The sequence below is a fragment of the Homo sapiens genome, chromosome 11 (assembly GCF_000001405.40).
Source record: "Homo sapiens chromosome 11, GRCh38.p14 Primary Assembly".
Classification (NCBI taxonomy): domain Eukaryota; kingdom Metazoa; phylum Chordata; class Mammalia; order Primates; family Hominidae; genus Homo; species Homo sapiens.
The window spans coordinates 31,662,869-31,686,572 of NC_000011.10; the positions used below are offsets into that span (position 1 = coordinate 31,662,869).

The 23,704-nt window shown below is 35.6% G+C and overlaps 1 protein-coding gene across 3 annotated transcripts in view, besides 7 other annotated features; it reads left to right on the plus strand.

The window, feature by feature from the left end:
* Positions 1–2,930: part of a biological region, named in NCBI's record as "PAX6 downstream regulatory region", that runs on past the window's edge. NCBI's record gives its function as "regulatory_interactions: LOC106014249 | PAX6".
* The window catches only part of ELP4 (elongator acetyltransferase complex subunit 4), a 280,558-nt gene that overhangs the window by 153,102 nt on the left and 103,752 nt on the right, over positions 1–23,704 (plus strand). The window contains exon 10 of one of the 3 annotated variants that reach the window (NM_001288726.2): positions 18,919–19,207. The exons of the other annotated variants lie outside the window; for them this stretch is intronic. Within the exon in view, the coding sequence (NP_001275655.1) occupies positions 18,919–19,207 (289 nt within the window). The remainder of the gene's footprint in view (positions 1–18,918; positions 19,208–23,704) is intronic. 3 annotated transcript variants of the gene reach the window in all.
* Positions 420–2,930: an enhancer, noted in NCBI's record as "2.5 kb EI fragment". NCBI's record gives its function as "enhancer in the lens, diencephalon, and hindbrain" and the evidence as "EXISTENCE:transgenic organism evidence [ECO:0001131][PMID:11590122]".
* Positions 928–1,763: an enhancer, noted in NCBI's record as "SIMO cis-element". NCBI's record gives its function as "enhancer in early surface ectoderm, diencephalon, lens, rhomencephalon, and retina" and the evidence as "EXISTENCE:transgenic organism evidence [ECO:0001131][PMID:24290376]".
* Positions 941–2,468: an enhancer, noted in NCBI's record as "VISTA enhancer hs234; also known as PAX6_hs6". NCBI's record gives its function as "enhancer in: midbrain (mesencephalon)[10/21] | eye[9/21]" and the evidence as "EXISTENCE:transgenic organism evidence [ECO:0001131][PMID:17130149, PMID:19073165]".
* Positions 1,228–1,462: a conserved region, noted in NCBI's record as "conserved region; ultraconserved element uc.325". NCBI's record gives the evidence for it as "COORDINATES:sequence similarity evidence [ECO:0000044][PMID:15131266]".
* Positions 1,273–1,573: an enhancer, noted in NCBI's record as "PAX6_hs6A fragment". NCBI's record gives its function as "enhancer in optic tectum, hindbrain, spinal chord, lateral line and lens" and the evidence as "EXISTENCE:transgenic organism evidence [ECO:0001131][PMID:19073165]".
* Positions 1,518–1,536: a protein binding site. NCBI's record gives its function as "promotes expression of PAX6 in lens" and the evidence as "EXISTENCE:protein binding evidence [ECO:0000024][PMID:24290376]".

Sequence of the window (23,704 nt, forward strand, 5' to 3'; positions counted from 1 at the left end):
AAAGTGCTTCAAAGCCAGCTTCTCATTGTGTGCACATATTTTCTCATCCAGCCTCTCTGTAATCATGTGGAACTCACTTTCTTAGGGGCACCTCATTTCAGTCTCTACCAGATTCTTTCAAATGCTAAAGCAACCTCTTAACCATTAGTACTAATTCAGCTTTCTGAAGCCACAGATAAATTGCTATTTTCTATACAATGTTACCAGATCGATAATAAATACCTAATATATGAGAAACAATTGTAATGTATAAATATATATTAGTTTTCATTAGATTTATATTTCTTTTATAAAACATTATAAATTTAACCATTTATGGTGTTTATTGTACATTTAACTTAGAACCTTAAGCACAACATCTTTTAAAGAAACCTTTTTTAAAATAAAGCATTAACTAGAAATGTTAAAAGTTTTGAATTCTGAAATTAAAATCCTTTATGAATTGTAGCTTCATACAATTTAAATATTAAAATTCAGTGTTTTCATTTGTAGCATGTTTGAATACACAGATGACTTCAGATTATTAAAAGTTATAAAATCAACTTTAAATGTGATATTGAGTTTTTTATTATAATCTACTTAAGATTTTTTTACTATACAGTAAATCAAAATGTAACATTAAACTTTTGATAACTGAATATTGAGAGGCATAAGGATACATTTCTATATTGGGCGTAAGGATATATTGATTTTATTAGCAGAAGTATACTCAAAAACTTTAACTGTTCATTAGCCACACTATCCAGTGTCTATAATTGATAGTCAAATTAAAACAGTAAGTTTAAGCGGGTGCTATGAAGTCTTGCTTGCTTATATGCATTTTTTTAATGTAGGAATTTCTTAGACAAGTAAACAAGATCTTACTGAAGTTTAAAGGGTGAATATATTATTAAAAGTAATGTTGGTCCTGGTAAGATTATTTTTAAGCTATAGGATGCTGTAGTTGGAATATTTTGGCATTTTGGTTAGGAAATTTAAACATGAGCACATTTTTACTTAATAACTGCTTTTATTTAAGCTAATGTAAGTTATTGTATTTTAAAATAATTATATAAACACCAGTGTCCTTACCATTTGAAAATTATTTTTAAATTATGTAAAACAAAACTTCTTTTCAAAGGTGTTTACGATGTAGAATAGAAGATTGCATGAAATCACACAAAAAGAACTCAATGTAGTGTTTTCAGCCTAATAAAAATGTTGTAAAAATACTTGTAAGCTTGGAAATCACACTAGCTATTCTTGTTTCAAATTCTGTTTAATATATTGTTCTGTATGATTTTATAATAAACAGATTACTCCTTGAACAGGAATTAAGAATAAAGCTGCCAGGAAGGGGTTTTGTTGTCAGAGTAGTTCCCGCCTCATGTTTTGTAAGAGATTTCATGGTCCCATTGTAAAGAGTAGATGATTTAAAACGTGTTCCCAAGATAAACTTTCCCATTGTCATTAATGAGGATGGATAATACTGAGTGACAAGTGCATTAGGAATGACACAGAAAGAGCTGTTAGATTTGTCAGAGCGTATCACTTCAGGCATTGACACTTGAGGACATTCTTTTTGTGGATATTTGGTTGGGGGGGGAGTCTGATTTAAAGATACCAAAGTTTGTGTTTGCTAATAGAATAATGTATTTTACAATTTATAAATATATATTTTTCAGTGTTTAGAAAATATTTGGAAAGTTATTTAGATTAGGTTCTTCCACATTTTAAATTCATGCTTTTATTATAACCTGATTTCTTCCTGAGAAAGTCATCAAACTGTAAGACATTTGAATATTAAAATAGTCCCATAAAACTAAATTCTTCTTCTAAAAAGTCTTATTTCTGGAAATATGCAGCTGAAGGAAAGATACTAAAAATTAAACAAATTTTTAAAAAACATTTTGCTATCTTACTCCTGTATCTAAAAGGGTACTCCTTACTATGCATCACCTTGAGAATAAAGGTTTTGAAATAAGAAAATACATGTAATTTTATTGTCTCTTTGAAAATACATTACAGAAACATGTTTTAAATATTAATCAATGCGCAATTAATAATGTGTGACTTTTCTGGTATTTAAAGTATTTCCAAGCTGTAGTATGCATCTCAATTTCGATTTTGAACATGCAATTGGTCACTTTTTTGCTTTGATTCATCTTTTATGCTGCCAACCAAATTTTGCCTCTGTATACCTTTTTGACACTAATAATGACTGAGTCTCTGTTCATTTGAGTTCAAGATTTCCCAAGCGGCAGTTTGGAGCTGGGATAAACTATCTATCATGATTGCATACCACTAATCTGTCTCAACCAAACCACCCTATGACTGAAATTATACTTGACAGTTTACCTCTTCTTGATGAGCCTGAGGTGAACATAGCTACAGACCATCCCTGGGAGGACATGGCAACTACTCCATATGCTAGGGAGGATCCTTTTATTTGTGACACAAGACTTAAACTATGCCTGTAGCAAAAGGGAAGTCTCTCTCCCTCTCGCTCTCTCTCTCTAGTATTTTTAATTTTCAGTAGTATTCCTTTTGTACTATGAAGCTTTTTTAACACAAATATGTTTGGTAAAACTTTCTACCATTACAAGTACTTCCTATAGGTTAGCTTCACCGTGTGTTTAAAAACTATAAAGTCATTTTTCAAAGTATTTATGCTTTCTAAAATATTATATTATTGATATACCATAATCATCAAATATCAAAGATTCCTATTAGTATTTGACTCTTGCCAGTTCTTGAAACATCTCAGTAAATTTTTATATTATAAAAATGTTTAATCGTCTCTCTTCCTTTTTTTTTTTTTTTTTTTTTTTGAGAGATTCTGTGTCACCCAGGCTGGAGTACAGTGGTGCAATCATGGCTCACTGTAGCCTCAACCTCCCAGACTCAATTGATCCTCCCTCCTCAGCCTCCCAAGTAGCTGGGACTACAGGCATGCGCCACCATGCCCAGCTAATTTTTCTATTTTTTGTAGAGACAGGGTTTCACCATGTTGCCCAGGCTGGTCTTGAACTCCTGGGCTCAAGCAGAGCACCTGCCTAGGCCTCTCAAAGTGCTGGGATTACAAGTATGAGCCAAGGTGCCCAGCCTAATTCTCTCACTTTAACATAAAATGTTTTTCAAAATAAGTTTCAAATTCTTTTTTTTTTTTTTTTTTTTTTGTGACAGAGTTTCACTCTGTCCCCCAGGCTGGAGTACAGTGACACAATCTAGGCTCACTGCAACCTCTGCCTCCTGGGTTCAAGCAATTCTCGTGCCTCAGCCTCCCGAGTAGCTGGGATTACAGGAGTGGGCTACCACACCCGACTAGTCTTTGTGTTTTCAGTAGAGACAAGGTTTCACCATGTTATACAGGCTGGCCTTAAACTCCTGACCTCAGGTGATCCTCCCATCTCAGCCTAGAAAAGTGTTGGGATTACAGGCATGAGCCACCACACCCAGCCTTCAGATTCTTTAAATATTTTTAAAAATAGATTTGAAGAGAATAATAAACTGAACACTATAGCGGAAAACACTTTAATTGTTTTAATAAAGATTCCTTTTGTAGGCTGGGTGCAGTCGCTCACGCCTGTAATCCCAGCACTTTGGGAGGCCAAGGTGGGTGGATCATGAGGTCAGGAGATCGAGACGATTCTGGCCAACATGGTGAAACCCTGTCTCTACTAAAAATTCAAAAATTAGCCGGGTGTGGTGGCATGTGCCTGTAGTCCCAGCTACTTAGGAGGCTGAGGCAGGAGAATCACTTGAACCCGGGAGGCGGAGATTGCAGTGAGCCGAGATTGCGCCACTGCACTCCAGCCTGGACGACAGAGTGAGATTCTGTCTCAAAAAAAAAAAAAAAAAAGGTTCCTTATGTAGACTTAATTACCATTTTTACTATCTAGAGAAATGTAAAGTCTAGAGAAAAGTGGCTACCTAAGAAAATTAACTTACTTACTATTTACTGCCTTTCATCTTTTTTGTGAAAATGGCTCTCCTTTGGAATTAGGAAATATCAACATTTTGAGATGATGTAAAAAGAGTGATTAAAAGACTTACTAATGCCCTGAAAAAAGAGAAATCTGAAGTAATTTTCAAAAATGTGTTAGTATGTGGAGGATTTAATAGTAAGGGTAGTTTTTACAACCAGCATGGAGGACCAAGTGAGCAACAGACAAATTGTAAAAGGAAAGATTGAGGTTATTTAAACAAAGGCTTTTGGATATTAAAATACTTTATCATAGACCACATATAGATAAGTTTATTATAAAATGCAGTCTATTTGCATCTGTCCTGGCTTGTTGAAATGTGATCCCACCTGAAGATGTTTAGATGGCCTGAGAAGGTTGGCCCATAGAGTCTGTTATATCATTGGAGCAAGCACTTAATAAGTTTATTTCTCATTATCCATTACTTTTAATTAAAGTTTATTATTCCCTTGGAAAGATTCCTTTTAGTATAGGGAGTATTTTCTATAATCTTATGAAGCAGTAGTATAATCACTACTGCATTCTACACAAAGTTTTTCTAAAGCACCTAATGTCAAATAACCATCAACTTTATTTTGGAAGTTTATGGAAATTAATCTCCTGACATCACAGAAGTGATTACTTAGTATAATGAGTGAAACATTCTTATATTTTTGGATGTAACATAATTTATTTTTAACAAACTTAATCTGCGTTAATTTTATTATTTTCTACGTTATTTTTATTTTAACTAATAGTTACCAGTGAGCCATGTAAGATTTAGGTAACACCATCTAAAATAAGCATCCTGAAGAACACTGTCAAAATGAAGTTTATATAATTCCACATTTTTAAAATTTCAACTATAAAACTTCTACCGGTGAACTGCATAATATAATCTAGTGACATGTATTTCTGAATAAGAGGGAGTACTATGAAAGTAACTTAGTAAACTATATATATTCTTTATGCCAAAAGCAGTTAAATGAAAATGTCTAACTTATACACTGACTCGTGCTACTCAGACTGGATTTTGTGCTAAATTTTAACTTAGGCAATAAAATCTATGATCCATTCATCTTATCATACTCCGTTACTCCTCCCAACTAATTATCTGATCATTAAGTCTACTTTTTTATTATAGGGTGCATCTGCATCATTTCTAAAATAAAATTGCTCCCATTTTTCCCACAAGCATTTATTTTCTAATCAGAAGAATTCATATAACACTGCTTTATAGTAAATATTCAAAAAAGTTTAAATGGTAATTATTGAATAGAGATTATCCAAAACAGTAGTTGCTTTATTTGGAAAGCAGAATTTGTTTTAAACTTAGAAAACAAGCAAATTAAAATGATGTTTTGTATAATATTTAAATAATTATGCTTTTTGGTTTTGGTTTTAATATAAGTTTCTTTTCAACACTTTTTAATATACGTATATGCTTAAGCATGGTATATGATGAATCTTATTTTTTAAGTGACAAAAAACAATTATCCTGAAAAATGCCTTAACACCATCACATGAGGCAAAATTATTATATTCCTCAGACTACTTTTTTACACTGCTCCTGTGACAGATTAACACTATTTTTAATAAAATGATTGGCAACACTCAAGTCATTTGTTTCATACATCACAAAGGAATAATTATTTTCCAGTAATGTGTTGTAATTCTTTTTTTTTTTTTTTCCCCAAGAGACAAGGGCTGGCTATGTTGCCCAGGCTTGACTCAAACTCCTGGGCTCAAGCAATCCTCCTGCCTCAGCCTCCTGAGTAGCTGAAATTATAGGTGTTCGCCACCGCACCTAGCTGTGATTCTCTTCTTTGCTTTAGATATCGGAATGAAATTTCCTTTGGTACCGTGTGTGTGTGTGTGTGTGTGTGTGTGTGTGTGTGTGTGTGTGTGTAAGAACCCTGTAGAGAGAAAAATAAGAAATCTGTCAGATTTTTAATTTCCTGACCTAGGATGAAGCTGTTTCTTATTTTGATATACATACTGAGTCAATTGAACTTACAAGGACTAATTATGTGAGGGTGAGATCAACCATAGCTGTTTATTAACTCATTTAGTAAATATTTATGAAGGTATTTTAGTTGAATTTTTAATTTAGTCCAATGCTTTTTATTAAAATACATGTCCTTAATATCTGGCCTCTGCCTGCCTCCCCAGCCTCACCTCTTGTCTCAAACTTCGACTTGCAGCTTTACTCTCACTTGCAGTCTCCTCAATGGCCCATTCTTCTGTCACTTCCATGTCTTTTATTTATTTTTATTTTATTTTATTTTTATTTTTATTTTATTTTGGGATGGAGTCTCGCTCTGTCACCAGGCTGGAGTGCAGTGGCGCGATCTCGGCTCACTGCAACCTCTGCCTCCCAGGTTCAAGGGATTCTCCTGCCTCAGCCTCCCGAGTAGCTGGGACTACCATGCCCAGCTAATTTTTTGTATTTTTAGTAGAGACAGGTTTCACCATGTTGGCCAGAATGGTCTCAATCTCCTAACCTCGTCCGCCTGCCTCGGCCTCCCAAACTGCTGGGATTACAGGCATGAGCCACCGCGCCTGGCCCACGTCTTTTATAAATGCGAAAAATGCTCTCCCCTTTTCTGCAATAGATCAATCTTGCTCTTCATGTAGTCCTCCACTTAGATGTCACTTCCTTTAAAATGATTTTTCTGATTCTTCAAGACTAGGTTAGATAGCCTACCTCTGTGCTCCCAGAGTAACTCATAAGTTATTGTAGCATCTACAACATTATTTTAATTTCCTGTTTCTTTGATGTCTGTCTTCACCATACCATAAACTAGTGGCAGAAACTGTCTTTTTCTTCCTCAGTCATTCACCCACAGCACCTTACACAGGATTTAGCACACAATAGATACGTATTAAACATATGTGGAATGAGTGGAAAACTAATGTTTAACTCTGCTAAATACCTGACTGCATGTTTAATTATTCCCGCTCTCTATATGGGTCTAGGTTGTCTGTTTCATGGAGAAGGGTATTAGTAATCAGTCCTCCAAACCCAAACTAAACTGTTTAGATTTTCCCTAATTACCAAACTATATATTGTCCTTAAGGATTTATACTTTCTGCTTGGGATATGCCTCCATATCAACCTAGAATTGTTTTTCAAAATACCTTAACATCTAACTCAGTCTTTCCTTCTTAGTGAAGATCTTGCTAGCTCCTTCTTCACACAACTCATCCTTCCCTGCCAATATACTGACTTCCTTCTAAATCTTTGGCATATGCAAAACTCGACTTTTTAATGATGAGTTTGTTACTTGATGCATTAAAACCCTATCAAATAATTTGATTTGAATTTAAATGCATTTTTTAGCTAATCTATATTATCTCTTCCTCTTGCCTTTATAGACATATGGTAGTGATTCAGTATGGATACCTATCAGGATGACTAATTAAGGCCAAACCAACTGAGCATTTAAAATGTACCCTTCAAATTGAGGGGAGGTGCCAAGTTGATAACATCTTGATAACACTGGATAGTAATATCCCATGGGCTTACATATTCATTGTTCCTAGTCAATTGACATTTATATCTATTATCACTTGACTGAAACATGATTAATTATTTTATGATAATTTGAATCATTGTTTAAAATTCAGTTTGCGAAGTGTTGTGTCCCTGTCATCTTTTACCATTCCTTTAGAAGATTTGCAGCCACTCTGCTACCCTTCTAACTGTTACATAATAAACCTCATTGTTTTCCAAGTAGGAGACTCCTTCTTTCTGTAAGAGTAATAATTTTATGCTAGGGACATCAAAGATGAGGACAAAAATGTCACATTGTGATTCTGTCTCCATGACACTCCACAATAATACAAAGTGAAAATTTCAAGCAAAGGGAGGCTTTTGCGTTGCCCACAGTGTCAAAAGTCATGTTTCTCAGATTTTGTTCTCTAAATTGGGTATTAAAATAACCATTTTTATATTTTTTAGAAAAGTATAATTATTTCTTAAAATTTTATTTATAAAATATTTTCCCCAAGTCATTCTTTTTCATAAGGTTATTTTTTTCTAACCAAGAAATAGGAATTATAGTTCCTACTTTTTATTTACTGTTAACTATTTTAGTTGGAGATTTATTGCCTTAATCTATATGTAATATAATGTGTTTATCACTTAGGAAACATTAAAAAAAAGTGGGTTAGTTATTTTGTGTAATGCTGTAATAACATCATTCATCAGAATAATTATATAAAAGTAAATAGAGGTAAGGTAATACCTAATTTAGGATGCCTTTCAACTGTATAGTGCTTATAATTAAAGATTTCCGATAGAAACTAAAGGGCCTTAGTTTCCTTTCACATCAGCCTAATTTTCAAAATAAAACCATAAAATAAATCATAAAATGGTTTCTTTGCTTACACATTTATACGTTGAATCACAACTATCCACTTAGAAGTTTTTTGGACCAAAAAAATTGTTAAATTGTTAATGTGTAGAGCACAAAACTTAAAAGATCAATTTTGTAGCTCATTTGACATGGCAAGCTTGAGAGCAAAAATGATTTAACTACCCTAGTGCCATTAGAAAGTATTTAAGGTTTGCAAAGGGAAGTATGTGATTATTTCATATTACTTAAACCATTGAAAGAAAATATCACACATTATCAGTCATTAAAAGTAAACATCATGCATTACACATAATATCAGAGATTTAAGACATTATAGATAAATAGCTTACTAAATTGAGACATAAGTAAGATTTTATGTCTTTATAAACAAGGTATTTTTCCACTTTCCTACTTTTTTCCAGTTGGACTGAAAGGCATACAACAAAAACCTCATCTAGCCTAGCCTAGCATCTAATAGCCCTCACAGATACATATGAGTATTTAGATGGCAGACCACTAGACACAGATACCAAAACATGTATCCTCACAACAACCTTTATAATGGCACATTGAGCTCCCTGGTGAGTAAAGACTGCAGCATCTCAAGGTAGAAAATAAACAACAAGACTTATTTGCCAAGTGACTGTGAAAAGCACTTTTCATGCCTGACTCTGCTGCATACAGAATTCTGTGAACCTCTGAAGTAGCCATGTGACTTAAGGTTTAGCTGCTAGCAGCTAAAATAGGTCATCAAGCTCCAGGTCTGTTACAGTATTACGGTTCTCTTATTCCCATCAGGAACTTTGTTGTAAGCAGGAACTGGCTTTTGGCTGCTTAGTGTTCATTTTTGTTTTTCTGGGGGGAGCTTAGAAGGTCGATGAGGGGGCTGGGGCAGCAAGGCTGATGACTAAATAGTCTGCTCTTCAACCCTGATATCTATTAGGGGTAGGAAAACCTCTGGATACCCCCTGTAAAGACACTCCCTGGCTTTTACCAGCTTACCATCTGGACCCAATTTTAAGTGATTTATGACAATGGAGCCAGCATAACTGTACTCTATACTGAGTATTATTATTATATGATTCAATAAATGTCTTCTCTGTTGCAGAAGTTTGTAAGAACTGTTCAAATTGTTTTGTTTATTGAAGTTGTACGATTATTACTTTTTTAAAAAATGGAGTGGTCATTTAGGACTTAGAAGTCTTTTGTTATGAGGTGATTTTGTTATAATGGCATTTCTTAGAGATGATATTTATTCCAGTGCTGTGAAAAACCTATATAACTTTTTAGATATGATTTTTATTGAGCATATGTGAATTGAAAGTAATAATTCAAGCCAAGCACGGTGGTTCCCACCTGTAATCCTGGCACTTTGGGAGGCTAAGGCGTGGGCGGATGACTTGAGCCCAGGAATTTGAGACTAGTCTGGGCAACATGGCAAAACCCCATCTCTACAAAAAATACAAAAATTAGCTGGGTGTGGTGGTGGGCACCTATAGTCCTAGCTACTCACAAGGCTGAGGTAGGATCACCTGAGCCCGGGAGGTCAAGGCTATGGTGAGCCATGATTGTGCCACTGCACTCCAGCCTGGGTGACAGAGTGAGACCCTGTCTCAAAATAAAAAATAAAATAATAAAATAAGTAATCTTTTTAAAAAGAAAGTCATAATTCAGTAAAACAGTTATCACATGCACAGTTCACCCAAATGACTTCCATATAAGTTGATGATATTCTAAGTTTAAGTTGATGGTATTCTAAGTTTACATGGAAAGGTAAAACTTGGAAATTAATAAAACTATAAAGGGATGACAGTAGTTTTTGGGTTTTGGTGGGTTTTTTTGTTTTTGTCTTTGTTTTTTTGAGATGGAGTCTCCCTCTGTCACCCAGGCTGGAGTGCAGTGGCACGATCTCAGCTCACTGCAACCTCCGCCTTCTGGGTTCAAGTGATTCTCCAGCCTCAGCCTCCCAAGTAGCTGGGACTACAGGTGTGCACCACCATGTCCGGCTAATTTTTGTATTTTTAGTAGAGATGGGGTTTCGCCATGTTGGCCAGGCTGGTCTCAAACTCCTGACCTCAGGTGATCCACCTGCCTGTAATCCCAAAGTGCTGGGATTACAGGCATGAGCCATTAGTGGGTTGTTTTTTGTTTGTTTGTTTTTGTTTGTTTGTTTTTGAGACAGTGTCTTGCTCTGTCACCCAGGCTGCAGTACAGTGGTGTCATCATAGCTCACTGCAGCCTCAAATTCCTGGGCTCTACATGATTCTCCTGCCTCGTCCTCCCAAGTAACTATGACTACAGACAAGTGCCACCACACCCTGCTAATTTTATTTTTTGTAGAGATGGAGTCTCGCCGTGTTGCCCACACTGGTCTTGAACTGCTGGCCTCAAGCAATCCTCCTCCCTCAGCCTCCCAAAATGTTGGGATTACAGGCATGAGCCACTGCACCCAGCCTGACAGTAGTTTTTGATGAGATCTCAGTTGCCACAATTTTGGTGCATAAATCATAGTCCCATTATCAGTTATCTATCATAAGCTCCACAATTTTAATTGTTAAAACTTTATATGCTATAGATATGAATTATTTAAAAGAGAACACCTGGTAATCTATGTTTAAACATGCTAAATTTGTTTGGAATTTCTTCTATATAATATGATGCACTAGTATTTACTTCTTGATTTTTTTGATATCTAATGAAATGCTAGTTAGCTCATGGTTACTCTAACGGAAATAGAGAAGTATTTCTTAGAAGGGCTATTCATTATAATAAAACATTCATTCAAAATATTGCCCATGTTAGAGAACTGCTTGCTTGTTAAGATATAACTGGTTATTTAAGATTGCCTTGGTCCACAGGAAATGTAGTGTGTGGCCATAAAAACAAACCAAATTATGACCTTTGGAGGTATCTTTCGTGGAGAATACATCAGCAATTCATCACTCTATTTACAGGCATTTGAGAAATTAGGATCATTGGTATTGTTTTCTATTGGAAGTGAACAATAGACAAAATCTGTGTGGAATCTCTTGAAATTTTTATTTAATAGAGCATCTAATAGAATATTATTTCATAAACCTTTCAGAACATTTTAAGCATTGTAAGCATTATAGAAAATTTTATTTAATAAAGATTCACACCAGAACATTGGAGACACATTTTTCACTAACAAAATATGGAAAAGATTGTTTCCAAATTGGTGTGTTTAATTGCTTGCATGCCATTGGCCACTTAATAGAAAAACCTTGAAGTGTGATGCAACCAGTCATCACCATGTCTTCAGTTGACACATTTTGTTAAATAAAAGGTAGAAAATAAGAAAACATGTATTTCCAACTAATTTGAATAGAAGTCTATAGAATGAGTATATTTGGAAAGCTGTGTTAAAACATTTAATATGGAAAGGAAAGTCTCATTTATAAAACTGTGAAAAGAGTTACCATTTTAGTTTGACCCGCCAACCATTTTTCTTAATTTTACCAGTTGTACATTTTAGGATTGGAAGTAAATGGAGATAAAAGCCTCTTCCCTACAACACTGCAGTCTTCACGTAAGGGCTGTTTGAAAACATGCCAGGGCATGGCTTTTCTCTCAAACCTGAAGGCACTCATAAAATTAAACTTATTCAAGCTCAGGATTTCTGAAAGAATTTACATTTAAGAACTGAATTAACATTCTGTCCATATTAGTAAAACAAAACTGAATGTTACCTCTTTATATAATAGCAGTAGCAATGTCTTCATTAATTCAGGTTTCTAGTACCTAGTTAAAAAAAAAAGCACTTGGATTGTAAAGTGTGCGCATGTTTGTACACAACGTGGCAGTAACAAAGCTTTGGAAATTATGGAAGCTAAATGCTTGGTTACCACTGTAGCCCTCTTTTTCTATTTTATTGCTAATACTACAAAAAGGCAGTTATTTCTCCATCTGGTTTCCTTAGCATATACATTCTTAGCATGTAGGAAAAATCATCACTGTCAGAAGTGAAGAGTTAAGGGCAGGACAGGGAAGAGATTGTGGCAGATTGAATGGGCAGAATTGTTGCCCCCAAGAGTCATGAGAGGGAGTGTAGTATAACAATTAATACATTTAATCTTTTTTTTTTTTTGAGACGGAGTTTCGCTCTTGTTGCCCAGGCTGGAGTGCAATGGCGCGATCTCAGCTCACTGCAACCTCCGCCTCCCAGGTTCAAGCAATTCTCCTGCCTCAGCCTCCCAAGTAGCTGGGATTACAGGCATGTACCACCACGCCTGGCTAATTTTGTATTTTTGGTAGAGACAGGGTTTCTCCATGTTGAGGCTGGTCTCGAACTCCTGACCTCAGGTGATCCGCCCGCCTCGGCCTCCCAAAGTGCTGGGATTACAGGTGTGAGCCACCGCGCCCAGCTACATTTAATCTTTTTAAAAAATATATTAAGCATATACAGGGCTGAAGTGATCATGTAGGCACTGTGGGAAATGCAAATGCTATACATGGTTTCTGTTCTCACTTAACATCTTAGATACTTATACTGTGGAAGTTATGAAAGAAGTCCCTTCCCTCTAAAAACTCTATAGTTATACAATCTTTTTCAGGTGTTTATAGGAAGATTTTTTTCCCTCTTCAAATAGAAGAAAACAATTACTATTTACCCAACATTCAATCTGACAGAAAATCCTGTTGGCTTTGCTTTAAAATATATTCATAATTTAAACAGTTTTTACCACCTCCAATGCTACCACTCAGTCTAAGCCTCCTAACTAGATTTCTTCTTTTAACCCTGACCTCCTTCAGTCTGTTCTCATACAGTAGCCAAGAGGATGATTCTTTTAAAACATGAGACAGATCATGTCATTTCACTGCTCAAACTCTGTGTTGATTCTTCATCTCACTCAGAAGTCCTTAAGTGACCACCAAGACCCTACATGACCTGGCTGCCTTTCCTCTCTGACCTCATCTTTTATTCCTCTCCCACCATTTGCTCCATTTTAGCCACACTGGCCTCCTTGCTTGAACACAGTAAGCCTCAGGGCCTTTGCTGCCTGTTTCCTTTACCTGAAATGTTATTCTTTCACATCTTTTCATAGCTAACTGCCTCAATGCCCTCAAATATTTGTTCATATATCACCTTCTTAATGAGGGTTTCCTGACTCTTCTTTTCCAAATAGCAATCTATCCCTATTCTGCCATTGCCAATCACTCTTAATCTGCTTCATGTTTTCCCATAGCACTCACCACCTTCTAATATGCTGTATAATTTTCATATCTATTATGTTCACTTTCCATCTTCCTGTACTAGGATGTAGGTTTCACAAGAACAAGGATTTTTGTACATTCCATTCTGTTTAGAACAGTATCTTACATACGATAAGGTGCTCAAAAAAACAAGTTTGTATGTCTCAGTTTCTCTCAAGTTGTTTCCTGTCTTCTTCCCTATTTAAATTGTATACAAGAATGAATGAATTTGGAAGCTTATACTAGTTGAAATAATACCATTTATTGCTATTATTTATAGGTACTAAGTGTTAGACACTGTATAGGCACTTTGCTGGTATTATTTAATCCCCACAGCTAGTTCTCAGAGAGATAAAGAGGCTTAGAGAGGTTAAGTCATTGGCCCAAAATCATGTATCAAATGAATGGCTAAGTTCCAATTCAAGCCTGTAAGAGACTCCAAAGGCCAAGCCCTCTTTGTAGCTTTTGGGTTATGGCCAAGTTTAGCAAGTTTCATTCAATTATCAATATTTTTATTTATATTTACATCATTTTTTAAAACCATGTACCTCCTCACACATTTTTAAGTTGATATAAAATTTTCTATTATATGTTCAAATAGTGACAAAGGGTATAATTTCTGACCAATATATGCTGTAATATATTTTCATCCAAATCATGCAGTATAGGCTTAGCTCATTCAATTAGTAGAAAAGGTTTGTAATATAGTCTAATTGGCAATCATTGTCAAATTGATGAGAACAAAGTCCGACTTCATTTTTAAATTCTAATTAAACAGTTTCCAGGACAATCTCCTCACTTTCTGTTGCCATGAGTGTGTCCCATGGTCATCATGAAACAAAATGCAATCCCCTTTAGTTTGTCTGTTTTGCAATTATGGGACTCTCCCTTAGGAGCAATGTAACGCACACCAAGGTCCAGGGTGGGTGAGAGCTATGCCTTCTTTTGCCAACTTCAATTAAATGGGAAAGGAGAACTTGCAGACTGTAGGTACATTTTCAAGTAGATTAATTTTAGTAGAGAATAACTATGGAAACTGAGGATCTCAAAATTGAATTATTTTGAAACTGCCCACGCCCACGTAGCTATTGGAAAGTCTTCTTAAAACCCAAAGGAGATGCATTTTCCAGTTTTAAGACCTCTGCTTTATATTATGTAGTACATTGAAATTTAGAAAATACTCCAAGTTTTTTCATGGTTATAGTAGTTGATTATAATCTACAAAAATAGGTCTTTAGGTTATGCCAATGTGATTTAAAAAAACAAGAATGGAATGAAATACTTAACATTGATGCAAACTGTTAATAGACTTTTTAAAGAGTTTTTAAAAGGCTTACAGAAAAATTGAAAAGAAAATATAGAGTTCTCATATACCCATCCACACTCATTCCTCAGTTTCCCCTATTATTAATATCTTGCATTAGAGTGGAATATTTGTTACAATTGGTGAGCCAGAATTGATACATTATTATTGACTGAAGTCCATACTTTATACTAAGATTCACTCTGTTTTGACATTCTGTGGATCTTGACAAATGTATAATGACATGTATTCCCATCACAGTATCATATGGAATTGTGAAACTTTCCTAAAAATCCCCTGTTCTCTACCTATTCATCTTTCTCTCCCCCTTCTTTCCTCCCTCCCCCAATGTCTGACAACTATTGATCTTTTTACTGTTTCAATAAACAATTTTGCCTTTTTCACAATGCCATGTAATTACGTAGATTGTAGCTTCCTCATATTGGCTTTTTTCCCTTAGCAATATGCATTTAAGGCCAGGTACAGTGGCTCATGCCTATAATCCCAGCACTTTGGGAGGCTGAGATGGGAGGATTGATTGAGGCCAGGAGTTTGAGACCAACCTGGACCACAAAATGAGACCCCTGTCTCTGCAAAAAATTTTAAAAATTAGCCAGGTATGGTGGTGTGCAGCTGTGGTCCCAGCTACTCAGGAGTCTGAGGTGAGAGGATCACTTGAGCCTAAAAGGTCAAGGTTGCAGAGAACCGTGGTCGCACACCACTGCACTCCAGCCTAGGTGACATATCAAGACCCTGTCTCAAAATTAATAAATAATTGTTATTATTTATTGCATACATATATGTATGTGTGTGTGTGTGTGTGTGTGTGTGTGTGTGTGTGTGTGTGTGTGTATATGTGCATTTTATGTTCTCCTATGTCTTTCTCTGGCTTGATAACTCATTTCTTTTAGTGCTAAATAATATTGCATTGTGTGGGTGTACCATAGTTTGTTTATTCGTTCACTTACTAAAGAACATCTTGGTTGCTTCCAAGTTTTGGCAATTATGAAGAAAGCTACTGGTATAAACATCCGTGTGCAGGTTTTTATGTGGACATAAGTTTTCAACTCATTGGGTAAATATCAAGGAGTATAACTGATAGATTGTATAAGAGCATATTTCATTTTGCAAGAAACTGGCAAACTGACTTCCACAGTAGCTACACCATTTTAAATTCCCACCAGCAATGAATGAGAGTTCCTGTTGCTCCACATCCTTGTCAGCATTTGGTGTTATCAGTGTTTTTGGATTTTAGCCATTTTTCTAAAATGTAGAAAATGAGAGTGGCATCTCATTATTGTTTTAGTTTGCAATTTTCTGGACATATGATATGAAACTTCTTTTTATATGTTTTTTTGCCATCCATCTGTCTTCTTTGGTGAGTTGTCTATGCACATCTTTTGCCCATTTTTAAATTAAGTTGGTTTTTCTGTTATTGTTGAATTTTAGAAGTTCTTTGTATATTTTGTATACCATTTGTTTATTGACTATATTCATGCAACTATATTCAAGTTCAGTTGACTATATTCATGTACCACATATACCATAATCTATATTCATGTACCACATATACCATAATCAAGACTATACCACATGTCTTGATTATGGTAGCTTTATATTATATCTTGAAGTCGGGCAGTATATTAGTTTGCTAGTGCAACCACAATAAATACCACACACTGGCTGACTTAAACAATAGAAATTTTATTTTCTTACAGTTCTGGAGGTCAGAAGTCTAAAATCAAGATATCAGCAGGGTTAATTTCTTCTGAGGCCTCTCTACTTGGCTTGTAGATGACTGTTTCTCCCTACGTTTTCCCTCTGTGCTTGCACATGTCTGAGTTTAAGTTTCTTTTTCTCAGAAGGACACCAGTCATATTGGATTAGGACACACCCTAAAGACATCATTTTAACTTAATTCCTCCTCAAAGACCTCATACCCAAATATGGTTACATTATGAGATACTATGCGTAAGGGCTTTACCATATGAATTTTGAAGGGACACAATTCAGCCCATAACAGGTAGTTTCAGTCCTGCAACTTTGTTCTTCAGTATCGTGTTGGCTATTATGGGTCTTTTGCCTTTCCATATAAGCTTTAGAGTCAGTTTGCCAATATCCATAAAATAACTTGCTTGGATTTTTATTTGGATTACGTTGAATTTATAGATCAAGTTGGAAAGAACTGAAATCTTGACAGTATTGTGTCTTTCATTCCTAGGGCTGGGTCCCTCTGGAGTTGTGTACTCTCTAATGTCCACCCTGAGCTTCCAACAGTTTGTCTTTTACAGTTTAGATTTTCCTACTCTTTTGGTATTGGTCCCTGTGGAGAATTTTTTTTTCCTAGGCTTTTACTTGGGTAAGTTGTGATTCTCTGTATCTGCCTATCATTTCTACAATCATAGAGGGCAGTGGTTTTCCCTGTGACCCCAATTATCTGATGGATCTAAGATTTGTTGATTTTTCAGTTTGTTCAGCTTTTTGCTTGTGGAGACAGGAATGACACCTTCCAAGTTCATTACATGCAGGACTGGAAAACAGAAGTCTCCAACATACTTTTTATTATTGTAACATCATTGTGAAGAAAATTAAGCACTTATTGGTTCTTTATTATACAGAAGGAATTGAGTTAAATATAATACATCTTGAAACTGGCAAGAATCCCATGTTGCTAAAATGATATTTATGATGATATTTCTGCACCTGCATCACTAGTTTTTGAAACAAATTTACCCTAGAGCATTGGTTTGCAAAATGCTATGGCCCCAGTGGTTTCACAGAAGATCCTCTGAAATTGCTGGTTTGAGTTTCGGATAGGGGTTGTGGAGGGGTACAAGCAAGAAGGAAGCAAAGGGCAAGGAAAACACTAAGTTCGATATACTCACCCCTGCCTGAATCAGAGCATATGTGTTTTATTTGTTTCATACATATCATTTGAAGTAACGGTTTGACAATTAAAATATGTTTAAATTCACTGCCCTTGAGTGTTAGAAAATGTTGTATGCAATAGAGAAGGTTGTATTTAATCTTCTAATGTTGTGTTCAATAGGCTGCACAGTAGATGAACCTACATCATGAAAAGCTTCTTTGCAGAGTTTAGTAATGAAATTGTTAAGGAAGAACTCTAAGGTAGACTCATTTTATTTAATGCAAAGCGATCATGTTGAAATAAAACTCTGTTACGGACTGTAAAAACTCAATTTAAAATATAATTAATTTATCCTGAGGAGCTCAGGTATTCCCAAATTAAATATTTTTGAGGTATGAATTAGCTGACGTATCAAAAAAAGATAAAGTGTGATCATACCTTTATTAACCTGAGGTTAAGTTTTCTTGGTGAAACTTATAAATGTCAGTATATCCTGACTCATTAGTAACAGTTGAAATTAACCAACTTGGTAACTTCTATTTTTGTAAAAATTTACACTCACTTTGACTTTGTATCATGAGGGGAATTGAGGATAGGTCTGAAATAAGATTTCAGGCTTTTCTCCTTCTGAAATATATATTCAAGCTGAACAGAGAAAAGCATTTTAAATTCATCTAACAGTCATGTATAATTAGGCTTGGTTCTGCGTTGTGAATGGGGTTTCTGGAAGGGCAGCAAAAACAGGGTTTGATTTGTTACGTGCCCAAGCTTTGCATCATACCGTATAGAATTGTTTGTAAACATGCATATCACAGTAAAGTATGCTTAGTCTAAATCAGTTCAGAAAATTAGACAGCTGCTATGTGTAAAGCAAATAAATAAAACACCATTTTTCCACCAGAAAAGTGAATACAGTTGTAGAAGAGATTAGATAGATGTGCAAAAATCAATACAGGGCAAAATATCCTAAGTGTAATAAAGAGGGATAAAATGCTGTGAGACTTAAGGAGAGAGATGTTACATCTGTTTGAAGGCAAATTAGAAGAAGACTGAAAGGGAAAGTAACGTTTTTGATGATCTGGAAGAAGATGGACAGAAGATACATCAGTGAGGAAATGGTTACAGTGCATGTAAAAGAAAACTGATAGGTGCTTGAACAAACAGGGCTTTATATTTCTTTCCTTTTTTTTTTTTTTTTTAAATTGGAGCTTCACTCTTGTTGCCCAGGCTGGAGTGCAGTGGCACGATCTCGGCTCACGGCAACCTCGCCTCCTGGGTTCAAGCAATTCTCCCGCCTCAGCCTCCCTAGTAGCTGGGATTACAGGCGCCCACCACCACACCCAGCTAATTTTTGTATTTTTAGTAGAGATGGGGTTCCACCATGTTGGCCAGGCTGGTCTCGAACTCCTGACCTCAGGTGATTCATCCGCCTCAGCCTCCCAAAGTGCTGGAATTACAGGCATGAGCTACCGCGCCCGGCCTAGGGCTTTGTATTTCAAAGAGAACAAGTCTAAAGGTAAGTAGATACTGATGTTGATTTAGTGCTTCTGTAATGTCAGCGTCCCATCCAACTATGCAACAGTTTCAGCCAAGCTATTGACAAATCTAAGAGAGATTTAAGTGAAGAGCTGTACTTGATACTGTACTTGATATTTGCCAGGATCTGAATGATGAAAGAGGAGGAAGAATCATAGATTACTCAAGGCTGTAATATTAGTGGCCCATCAATAAGACTCATAGGTGCTTGTTTACGTATTTGCCTTCCTCACTAGCTGCTATTGTTAGAAAAGTGCAGAAGCAGTAAGTCTGGTAGCACTACTTCGGTCACACTTCCAGGATGCTTACTGTCTTTGCCCCTGCTGAGATCTCACATACATATTCAGAGTTGACTTCAAATCTCACCTGCTCCCTGAGCCTAGCCTAGCCTGACAGTTGCATCATAAATTGACCTTTTTTTTGTATTTGTAAAATTAGCACCTTGGCATTCATTGTTCAGTTCCCTCATTTTTGTACATTTTGTATGATACTGTATTAGCTCAAGTTGAGTAAGTATAAGAAATACTACCATGTGCCGGGCCTTTTGTGAATATACAAATATGTATTAACACAACTCCTACCCATAAAGAGCTCATAGTCTAGTAGAGAAAACTGACATATAAACAACTATAATAGAAATTGACTGATACAAAAATAGAGTTAGGTATGAAAATACTGTACAAAGACTAATAATGAGGCAGTTGTTCAGGGAAAGCTACAGAAGGAAGATATTTGAGTTGCATCTTGAAAGTCATTTGGACTATCAAATATTTATGTACTCATCACTTTCTATTTATATTATTACTTATTTTGACACCTTGCCCATTTGACGGTAAGTTTCTTGAGGTCAGAAAGTCTATATTCTATGCCTTTATTTCACCCATAGTGCCAAAATATTTCACTGAATCAGTATATTTGGTACTAGCCAAATATTTTATGTATATTTACATAAATTTATTTACTTATTTTTCTTTACCTTCCCTCTCCTCCCCACAAAGCCCAAGCTTAGCTAGTTACCATTCTTCTTCCTATTTTTGTATCCTGTTTTATTAACATTAGCCTGTAATGTATTTTTAGAACAGCTTATTTTACACACAAATGTGTAGTTTCTTTCTATGGCATATCTTGTAAGTAAGCATTGAGATTTTTGCTGTGCAACTCTTTAGGAGCTTTTATGGTGTCTTGTGTAAGCTTGATTAAAAATACAAAGTTTGGAGTTTTTTAATTTTCATATAGCTTTTGAAAAATTTTCTAGTTTATAATTTTTGTACCACTTCAAAGTATGAGGTTTCCATTTTTAAAAATATAATTTAAAAGCCGTGTTAAAACGACCATACTGTTGAAGTTTCAAATTGGCAAATTGAGTGTATTATTTTGAATTTTACTGCAGGACAGATGAAACAGGCTCAAGCTCTTCTAAATTTTGTGAAACACCAATGAAATTTTCCTTCATGAACATTTAAATCCATCATCATTTCTGCAGGTTCCAAGGCCATGGGCATTTTAAGATTAATGTTCTAGATGAAATAAAATTATTTTATGGTCTATTAAGATAATTTGCTAAACATCTATTTAAAAGCCTACTGTATAGGGGGTACTAGAGATACAAAAATAAGACATTGTTTCTATTTTAAAGAATTCACAATTTAATAATTAAAGAGATTTCTTCCATCTGTACTATGGGATAAATTCAATTAGCTAGATATAAATGTCAAAATTGATAAGAGGTAGAAAAGATCACTTATTAGATACTAAGTAAATGATTATTAAATAATGAACAATAGGAATTACAGACTTCAGCCGTAGGAAAGAAACATTACTGGATGAACTTTTTCAGTTCTTGGATATCAACATGGTTTTGGTTATTACAGTGATTATCAGTAATATTTAATGCATGAGGCTAGGGTATTCTGGCATTCAACGATGCTCTGTGCAGTCCTACCCAATTAAGAACTGCTATGATCCTACACAACTTTGAAAGTCTAACTAAAGCTACTACAAATATAAATTGGTATGTCACTTCTTCCAGAGTTTATGTTTATATTCAATGCAGTCCCTATAAAAATCCCAGCATAAATTTTTGTTAAATAAAAAAATGCAAAGGACCAAAAAGATAATCTTAAAAAAAAAAACCAGAATCTCCCTTTGTCACCCAGGCTGGAGTGCAGTGGATCAATCTTGGCTCACTGCAACCTCCACCTTAGGGATTCAAGTGATTCTCCTGCCTCAGCCTCCCAAGTAGCTGAAATTACAGATGTATGCCACCACCCCTGGCTAATTTTTGTATTTTTACTAGAGATGGGGTTTCACCATGTTGGCCAGGCTGGTCTCGAACTCCTGACCTCAAGTGATGCACTTATCTCGGCCTCCCAAAGTGCTGGGATTAAAGGCATGAGCCACAGCACCCAGCCCCAAAAAATAATATTTATACATAGCAATGTAGGAGAACTACCCTATGTCAACATTTGTGGTATTGACACAAGGACAGATCATTGTAACCAAACGGGACAGAAAAGAGTCCAGAAACAGACCCATACGTATATGATCACCTGTGACTTATGCCAAAAATAACACTAGTGCAGATGGGGAAGGATGTGCTTTTCAATAAATAGTACTCAGTCAAAACTGGTATCCGTATGATCCATATGAAAAACAAAAGTAAATCTTGACCCCTTCTTCACAGCGTAAACAAAAATCAATTCCAGATGGACTGCAATCTGATATGAAAGACTGTTACAATAGACTTTTAGAAAGAAACACTGAACACTGTCTTCACAGGGAGTGTCTGGAAAGGAGCTGAGGGTACTTTCAAGGAGCTGCTGATATTCCTGATTTTGATCTTACTAAACAAATTATAAAATGATTTCAATATATGTACCCACGTAAGCATAAATTGGTACTTTAAGACATAATACTGAAAACCTTTTACAAAAAGTTTTGCAGAAAGAAAGGGTCCTAATAGCAAAGGAAGTTCAGGCCGGGAGCAGTGGCTCAAGCCTGTAATCCCAGCACTTTGGGAGGCCAAGGCGGGTGGATCATGAGGTCAGGAGATCAAGACCATCCTGGCCAACATGGTGAAACCCTGTCTCTACTAAAATACAAAAAATTAGCCAGGCGTGGTAGTGGGCGCCTGTAATCCCAGCTACTTGGGAGGCTGAGGCAAGGGAATCGCTTGAACCTGGGAGGCTGAGGTTGCAGTGAGCTGAGATCGCGCCATTGCACTCCAGCCTGGCTACAGAGCAAGACTCCGTCTCAAAACAACAACAACAACAAAATAGCAAAGGAAATTTAATTGAAAAAAAAAATCTAAAGTTACTGAATAATTTACCCAACCTGTGCATTTTTTTACTCTATATTTCCAATTACATAGTTAATTGAAATGGGTTTCAATGCAATAGTGCAATTACTTCAAGAAGAGTGTAGTGATTTACATTTGTAACAGAAGAGTTGAAACTTAACAGATTTGTATCCAAACTTTAATAAATTAGTGAAGACATATGAAATGCAGAGACTTTAATGAATTTTATTAATAAAGTTTATTTTAAAAATATTTCTGGCCGGGTGTGGTGGCTCATGCCTGTAATCCCAGCACTTTGGGAGGCCAGGCGCGCAGATCACGAGGTCAAGAGATCGAGATCATCTTGGCTAATATGGTGAAACCCCTTCTCTACTAAAAATACAAACAATTAGCTGGGCATGGTGGCACACGCCTGTAGTCCCAGCTAGCCAGGAGGCTGAGGCAGGAGAATCACTTCAACCTGGGAGGCGGAGGTTACAGTGATCCGAGATCACGCCACTGCACTCCAGCCTGGACAACAGACTGAGACTCCATCTTAAAAAAAAAAAAAAAAATCTTTCCTATATATTGTTAAATGATTATAGCACATTAATACGTTTATGTATAAAAGTTATATGTTGAAATTGTCTTTTCAAGGGGTTATCACACAACTTCTCTATAGTCTGTTATAATAGTTTCCTTTTCTAACCTTCTTGTAGGCTTTATGACTTAGTCAAAATGAAAGCCAAACTCACCTGTGAAAAATATATACATTTTATATATTAGTAATCTATTATTTATTTTGTCATGCTAGCCCTAATACAATTAAGGTTATCACCTTCTTTCTCTAATCAATACCAAGAAACTCTGGTCTGTTATTATTTATCCTGAAACTAATTTTTATTCTAGATTCTACCTGTACCATATGTCTGATTTTTCATGATCTTGTGGGTTGGTTTTTTTTTTTTTTTTTGGTATGGAATAGCTTCTCATCTTGATTATCTTAAGTACAAACATATTCACTATAATTAGATGCAAGCATCTGACTATTTTATTAAAACTTCAGATTAAACATGGATAAAGGAGGGAAGCCCTCTGAGAGAGGCAGATCATGATGTGATTTCCAGCTCACAATTTTGGATTCTCTCCCATGGGTAATGGGGAGCCATTAAAGTATTTTATGCAGAGATTACCAATCAG